Source organism: Homo sapiens, chromosome 20 (genome assembly GCF_000001405.40).
Source record: "Homo sapiens chromosome 20, GRCh38.p14 Primary Assembly".
In the NCBI taxonomy this organism is placed as follows: Eukaryota; Metazoa; Chordata; class Mammalia; order Primates; family Hominidae; genus Homo; species Homo sapiens.
This window is the reverse complement of record NC_000020.11, coordinates 23,821,092-23,829,004: the sequence shown is the minus strand read 5'-3', so window position 1 is coordinate 23,829,004 and position 7,913 is coordinate 23,821,092. Positions and strand designations below refer to the sequence as shown.

Here is a 7,913-nt window from a genome sequence, read left to right as displayed (position 1 = left end):
ATCTGCTGGGATGCATGGTTTTTCTAGGTGTGCTGGATTGACAGTGGTGTGCAATGGTCACTGGGCCTTGGATAACAAGGTCCCCTGTCCTAATACTGAACATGAACACCAATGAGTAATATTGTTCCTGCTGCCGGGTCCTGCTGATGCAGCCCCAGCCACGGCTGAGACCCAGGATCCCAGCAGCTCTGGGTTGACTCTGTCTGACCCTCACCTCCACTACTCCCAGGAGAGTCCTCTGGATGCCATGCAAAGGCCCAGGGTTTCCTGGTGTTTCTCACCAAGCCTTCCACCTCACCACAAGGGCATTTGCCACAGGGTCACCTTCAGGCATGGAGGGTTGGGTTGAGAGAACAAAGGGAGCAGCTGTCTGTTCAGGGCCTCCTTCCATCCTCCCCAATCCTGGAGCCACATTCCAGCACAGGCCCACAGCATCCCAAGCTGGAGACTTTGTCACCCCACAGAGCACTGTGGTGATTAGGTCCTCTCAGTCTGTGGAGAAGGAGAACTCCCAATCCTGGCAATGAAGCAACTTGGGGGCCACTGGAAAGCCACGCTGAGCAAAGGACGAAGACACATCTGGGATTGCTCTGCAGGATTCCATTCCTGGGAATCTCAAGGGCAGGTGACAAAGGAGTCTACAGGACTGGACAGGGGCTGCCAGGGTGGGGTGGGCACGAGGATGAGCTGCAGAGGCAGGAGGACACCGTCTGGGGCAAGGCAGATGTCAGAGGTCTGGACAAAGTGGTAATACAGGTGTATGTATTTACAAAATCTTCCAGGTGGGCACATACTATTAGGCATCTTACTGTATGTAAATTCTACCTCCTTCAAGGCAATTTTTAAAATATCAGGTGGGTCTTCCAAGCAGTGCATAGAGGAAAGAAGCTGGAAGCATGGCTGCCTAGGAGAGAAGCAAGTGAGGCCTGTGGGCTCCCACATTCATCCCTTGGCTTCTGCTCCCTCTTCTGACACCCCCACTGCCTGCCAGGTGTCTCCCTGCACCTTGTGGGCCCCACCCACAGTTACCATGAGACACCAGGTCATTCCCTTCCCTGCTCACATCCCCTCCAGGAGCTTCCTCTTCCTGGAGCAGGCATGTCCCAATCCCACCTCAGGGCCTTTGCACTGGCTGTTCCCCAATGCCTGGGGCTTCTCAACCTCTCCAGTCTCATAGAGACCACCCTGACCAGGGTCCAGTGGTCTCTCTCTAGCCCCTGTTCTATTTCACTTCCAACAGAGTGAGTATAACTCCCTGATCCTAATTGTTGACCATAACCTATCATCCCCTACACACACTGTGTAGGAACGGACTGTACAGTTTCATAGCCACCTGCCACATGTGCCACGGGACACTTGAAATGGGGCCAGTCCAAAATGACTCCCAGGCTAAGTGTAAAAAATACACAGCGAATTTCAAAGATTTACAAAACCCCTCCAACAAAAAAAAAATCTCATTAATAATAGTTCCTATTAGCTGAAATAATATTGTGGCTGTATTAGGTTAGATAAATATTTTAAACATTACTTTCACCCATTTTTTCTCATCTTTTAAAATGCATCTACTACACATTTTCATATGCTCGTGGGTTCATGTCACATCTCTGTGGGCAGCAGCTCTGCAATGTCACCTCTATGGCTCATCATCCAGGTTCAGTATTCAAGCCCTAGACCTCCTGGCACGGGGAGTAGCTGGTGATAAGTTTTTTTATTGAATAATGAGTTATGAAAAGAGAACCCAGTGACCTTTTCAAAAAAGGTTAATTCCCTTGAATTTGGCAAAGAAATTCTCCATAATAGGGTGTGGACAGGGTCTTCTGGAACCTTCTGAAATAACCTCCCTGTTCCAGAGATTCAGAGACCGTGACCAAGTGCTCCTGGATGCCTCTGATATCTGAAGACCCCGGAGGCCAAGCCCTGTATTTTTCACTTTTCTGAGCAAACAGGAGGTCACATTGTTTTCATAGCCAAAGGAGAAGTGTCATCTCTGTGGAGACCTGGTGACTCAAGCTTGGGAGCACTGGGGAAGAGAGGCATGGCTCGGGGAGGCTGCAGTGAGGACAGGAGTGGGGAGGAGGGGTAGATAGAGGAGGAGGCCTGGGAGGGGCAGGGAGAACTTAGGCAGGGAGGGATCTTGTGGTTTCTGAGGAGTGAAAAGAGAGATGGAGAAAGAGGGAATGAGCAGAAAGAGGAGGAGGAGTCAGGGGCAGGTCATGGAGGGGGGTGGGGCTGAGCTGCCAAAGCAGGATAAATGCACAGCTGCCTGCTGGTCTGGGATCCCCGCCTCAGGCTCTCAACCTCCTCTCCTGCAGCTCCAGCTCTGTGCTCTGCCTCCGAGGAGACCATGGCCTGGCCCCTGTGCACCCTGCTGCTCCTGCTGGCCACCCAGGCTGTGGCCCTGGCCTGGAGCCCCCAGGAGGAGGACAGGATAATCGAGGGTGGCATCTATGATGCAGACCTCAATGATGAGCGGGTACAGCGTGCCCTTCACTTTGTCATCAGCGAGTATAACAAGGCCACTGAAGATGAGTACTACAGACGCCTGCTGCGGGTGCTACGAGCCAGGGAGCAGGTGGGTGCTGCCTCCACCTGAGGGGTCCTGAGTCCCAGCCTTGTTTGTTGCCCGATCCATAAGAGCATTCGCAGCACATCAACACTGATACATTCATGATCTAATGCTCAGATTCATTCAGCTTTCCCTGACTCTCTGCTTATGGCCTTCATGCCTAAGCATGCTCCCGGGGGATGGAGACTATGCTGACTCTGGATGGGCTTGATGCTGCTCAGGATGAGATCCAGGCCATGAGGCTCACCCTCCTCCCTGAGTCCTCTCCTCAGGGGCCACACAGGAACTTCGCTTCCTGTTCTGCAGAGCCCTACTTCACTCCCCAAGTCACACCCGTGGGTACAGCCCTTTAGGGCTAATGGCCTTCACCCTCAGGCCGGCTGACCACCCCCTACAGCCCAGGGCAGCTGAGTCCCTGCTGGGGTGGAGCACGCCTGACCCTGCCTCTATGAGTTGATGCAGAGTTAGACCTCAGCCAGATGAGGACAGCAGTTACCCAGTAGAGAGGAGGAGGTGTCAGGTCAAGAGAGAGCTTCAGAAGGGCTATTGGGCCCAGCTTTACCTGCATCCCATGGCAGAGCAGCAAATAGTGACACAGGCTTTAGAGCTCCTCCACCTTCTCTTGGAAATTCAAAGGAATCCAGACCAGCCCCATTTCTCCTCCTGCAGCTGTCAACTGGGACCCTCACCCTGCACGGGAGGTGCACTCCCTGGTGCCATGGTCCCCGCTTGCCTCCACCTCCCTTTCAAGCATGACAATAACTTGGAGTGAAGCACAGGGCATTGCAGACCATCAGGCCCGGACGCCTATTTTATACATGGGTAAACTGACACCCATGGGTAAAAAGAGTCAGTGTTCCCTTGCCCCTGAGCCACAGGTGGCAGAATTCAATGAATCCTTTTACCCAGCACAGAGAAAACAATATTTAAGAGGGGGCATGAGGCCCAGCACCCTGCCAGCTGACAGGAAGAGGGGGCTTGTGTGCCTTGTGTTGACATGTGGGCAGCTCACGAAGCCCCCAAGCAAGTCCAGTGACTCAGCCACAGTGAAGTGCCTGTGAGTGCATGAACTGATGGGGGCGCTGTCCGTGCATCCTGTTTTCTCATGTGTGTAGATCGTGGGCGGGGTGAATTACTTCTTCGACATAGAGGTGGGCCGAACCATATGTACCAAGTCCCAGCCCAACTTGGACACCTGTGCCTTCCATGAACAGCCAGAACTGCAGAAGGTACGTTCCTGATGCGGGTCCCAGGCCAGTCATGCACTGCAGAGGGGTGCGTATGTGTCAGTCTCTGCCCTACACATGTTTGGAGGGTGTGTGTGTGCAGGTGGGTATGTGGGGAGTCATGTATGCATGGATGTATACATGTTCATGTACTTGTGGAGGGTTGTGCATGTAGATGTGCATGTGGAAAGGTGCATGTGTGTACACACATGTGCCAGTGTGTGCAGGGAGCTGTATGGGAGCATGTGTGCCTGTGTGTGGGGATTCTGGGGGTTTGTACATAGATCCATGGGGTTGAGGGGTCCAAGTGAGTTTACGTAGTTGCCTATGTGTGTGCAGATGGGGTGGTGAGGGAGGAGGGTGATGTGTTTGATTTGCTAGGAAGCCTTCAGCTTGGGAATGGTTACTGGGAGATCAACTCTGCCTGCTTTGGGGTGTTGCCTGTTGGACAGGAAGAAGCAGCTGTGGGGCTGTGTGCTGGGCAGGGAGAAGGGGCTCTGTCTAATCCCAGCCTCAGGTACCTGCATGCAGCCACAGACACAATGATCAGATTAGTGGGACCTAGAGGCCTGTTAGCTGGGAAGCCCTGGACCTGCCCGGCTCACCCAACACCAGCCTCTCCAGGGACCTGCTGGTTCTTGTGAGGTCTCCACTCAGGGGAGAGCCACACTCCCCTTGTTACCATTGCCCCATGCCCCAGCTCTTTGAGGCGGAGTTGCCCTGCTCTGGGTTCTTCCCTCTGGCCCCTCTTAGTGCTGGCCTGAGTGCTGGAGGTGGAAGGAGCTGGGGGAAGTGAGCCACCTCCCCATGCCCTGCACCCTTGGGGCTCCCAAGGTCTTGCACAGGCTGATCCTCACAGGGCTGTGCTGGGACAGGACACTGCAGGCTGCGGTGGGGGCCCAATGCCACCTGGTGACTTGGAGCCTTGGGAGGGGCAATGGAACAGTCACTATTCATTCTAGTTCAGTGCTCTGGGACTCAGCAGGGGTGGGTGAGGGCCCAGTGTCTCACCTCCATCCTCCTCACTCAGGCTGTGACATCTCATGCCTGGGTGACTTCCCCTTTAACTGTAACTCACACTGATTGGCCCTCTCTCTTCCCTTTCACAGAAACAGTTGTGCTCTTTCCAGATCTACGAAGTTCCCTGGGAGGACAGAATGTCCCTGGTGAATTCCAGGTGTCAAGAAGCCTAGGGATCTGTGCCAGGGAGTCACACTGACCACCTCCTACTCCCACCCCTTGTAGTGCTCCCACCCCTGGACTGGTGGCCCCCACCCTGTGGGAGGTCTCCCCATGCACCTGCAGCAGGAGAAGACAGAGAAGGCTGCAGGAGGCCTTTGTTGCTCAGCAGGGGACTCTGCCCTCCCTCCTTCCTTTTGCTTCTCATAGCCCTGGTACATGGTACACACACCCCCACCTCCTGCAATTAAACAGTAGCATCACCTCCCTCTGAGTTCTTGGCTGTCTGGGGATGTGCACACAGGCAGGGTTTCTGCAGTTCCTTTATGAAGCCTCCTTGTTCTGCTTGTGTGGAGATCAGAGGAGTATCTGGGACCTGACATGGCCACAGCAAGGCTGTCAGGGGAGCTGCTGCCACTTTTGGAGGCCTGAGCTTTAGAACAGGGAGACAGCAGCCAGGGGCTGGAAACCCAGGCCTTCAGGTGCAGCAGCCTCTGGTGAGGGGGTCAGGGAGAGGAGTGGGCCAGACTGCTGCCCGGGAAGCTGGGCTGCTGCTTTGGTCTGAGCTACTGGTCCAACCAGGAGGAGGGGGCTGGCTGTGTCCACAGGCAGGGCTCAGGCCTCGGTGGAGCTTGCTAGGCTGTAGATTCCATCTGTGCTTGCAGAGTTGAGCAGACTCCAAGTGTAGCAGGATGAGCCATAGACAAATGTCCTCAGACACCAGATTAAAGAAGGAAGAGGTTTTTATTTGGCTGGGAGCATCAGCAGACTTGCGTCTTAAGAGCCAAGCTCCCGGAAAAAGAAATTCTTGGCCTTTTTATAGGCTTACAGCTTTAAGGGGTCCACATGAAAGGGTCATGATACATCAAGCAAGCGTGGGAAACTTGACTGGGGCTACATGCATCAGCTAACAGAACAAAAAGTTTTACAGTGCTTTTTTCATACAGTGTCTGGAATTTACAGATACCACAAGTAGTTTGGGTCAGGGGTTGATGTTACTATTATTACTTTTTTTAACTCCTAGAGCCAGGTGGTGGTGCCAAGGTTGTCTGGCTATTTATCTTACTTTTGTTTTTTTCCAACCTTTTGCTTTTTCTCTCCTCCTGTCTTGTGAACTAGGCAAGGTGGAGGGAAGAGGGCAGCAGGAGTACCAGTGGTCTCCTTCCTTACAGGGACTGAGCTGCTCTCATCAAATGCCCTAGACACTAAATAGATAGCGATCGATGTGTGGTTCTTTCCACAAGAGACTTTAGGCCCCTACATGGAAACAAAGAACACAAATTTGTGTGTGTGTGTGTGTGTGTGTGAGTGTGTATAGCTGATTGGGAAAAATGCCACCCAGACAAAAGATGGGCAACATCACACAGAGAAAGCAGAGACTGCTGTCATCCATCCTGGGAGGGTGCGCCCATGCTGGGAGGTTGTCTCCTATGCTAGGAAGCTGTGCCCTAGAAGAGTTTTACACGTTCACATCCAGCCGCCCTTTCTCTGGACTTGGATTTAAAAGAAGCACTCAGGTCAGGCTTCTTGACAGGGATGGAGAAGTTAAAACACAAATGAAAGTGACATACAGTGGACACTCATTTTTTTCACAAAGGATGTTTTAATTAATAAATAACATCACCTTAGTGTCAAAACCATTCTCTAGAATAGTGGGTAGTTGTGCTCCAAAGAAGAAGCTACAGTCCTAAGACCCAGCCCACCCTGCAAGGCCCTTCCCTTTGCCATTTCAGGGCAGGGGGTGCAGCCCTCAGGGCAGGTGCCTCTGGGAAGGGCTCTCAACTATCTTCCATACCTAGAGCTGTGTTGACCAAGGGTGGCTGCCATGAACACCGAGGGGGAAAAGACAAAGGGGAAACTGCCAAAACAGCCCTGAGGCCAGCACCCCATGTGCCGCACATAGAAAGCCAGGAGGAGAATGGTCTAGCAGGGAGAGTGGGGCGCATGTTCTTCATTTCCTCTCCACCCCCAAGGGATTTAACCAAGGTTTTGGATTGAAGAAAGTGAAGCAGCACCCAGGAGACCATGAGCTGAGGAGATCTGAGTCTGGGCCTCACCCAGTGTCAGGTGGTCGGGGGTCACACACACTGATTTAGGCTTCTGTTGGAAGAGAGGGGCTGAGAGCAGAACAGCAGGTGCCAGGGAATGGTGGTTAGGGGTGAAGTCTTCCCTGCATGGAGATCCTCATGGTTCTCTACCTGGGGAAGGGTCTGTCTTGACATAAGCAACCACCATCCAAGGACACAAGGAACAGGTGATTTTCTGTAAACCAGTAACTTTTCTGACATCTCTCTTCCTGGGAAAGTGGAGGGGGAAGTCTGGCTCTGTAGAAGGCTCCCTCCACCATCTCCCTGTGTGTCTGTTCCCTAGGAGGGGAGCTGGGGGCAGGGAGGCTTGAAGGTGAGCATGTGGGTCTTTCTCTTCTGGAACAAGCTGAGAGTCTGGGCCCTGTCCAGAAGCTACTGGGTCTTTGGAGTAAAGAAGTCTCATGAGGGTCATGTTTTGAAAATATTGCACCCCTTCTAAGAGTTCCTTTAGCAAAAATAATGTCACAAATTCTTGCTAAAAGACTAAAACCGCTGAAGTTAGAAACTCCACCTTCAGCATAAACAAATCACTCTGAAAGGAGGGATAAGTCCATTGGAGGCCTGGGAAGCAGGAACCAGTGCAGTCATTCCCTGGGCAGGTGGATTCTCAGCACTATGACCACAGACAACCCAGGTTCCGTGAGGTCTAAGGCTTACATAATACACAGAGTTATCTGCATGAAAAATAGCATAATATAACCAATCAGAAACTAAGCACAAAAGTTAGTGTTTATTTAAGAAGAGGAAATAAGTCACAACAAATTACTCATCTTAAAGTCCTAATAAATACTACAATCATCCCAAATTCCAGAAAAATAATATATATCTTAGTGCAGTCAGTCACCAAAACTGATT

At 52.2% G+C, this 7,913-nt stretch overlaps 1 protein-coding gene across 1 annotated transcript; it reads left to right on the top strand.

The window, feature by feature from the left end:
- Positions 1-2,275: 2,275 nt before the first annotated feature.
- Positions 2,276-5,236, top strand: CST2 (cystatin SA). Its single transcript, NM_001322.3, has 3 exons — positions 2,276-2,572; positions 3,682-3,795; positions 4,902-5,236. The coding sequence occupies exons 1-3, from the start codon at positions 2,345-2,347 to the stop codon at positions 4,983-4,985; spliced, it is 426 nt and encodes a 141-aa protein (NP_001313.1). The 5' UTR covers positions 2,276-2,344; the 3' UTR covers positions 4,986-5,236.
- The last annotated feature ends 2,677 nt before the right edge of the window (positions 5,237-7,913 follow it).

What these genes read in the sequence shown, in the direction of transcription:
- CST2 (NM_001322.3), top strand. Translation starts at nt 2,345, where the DNA reads ATGGCCTGGCCCCTGTGCACCCTGCTGCTCCTGCTGGCCACCCAGGCT. An exon ending in TGCTACGAGCCAGGGAGCAG is followed by an intron (nt 2,573 to 3,681) that starts GTGGGTGCTGCC and finishes TCATGTGTGTAG; the next exon opens with ATCGTGGGCGGGGTGAATTA. An exon ending in AACAGCCAGAACTGCAGAAG is followed by an intron (nt 3,796 to 4,901) that starts GTACGTTCCTGA and finishes TCCCTTTCACAG; the next exon opens with AAACAGTTGTGCTCTTTCCA.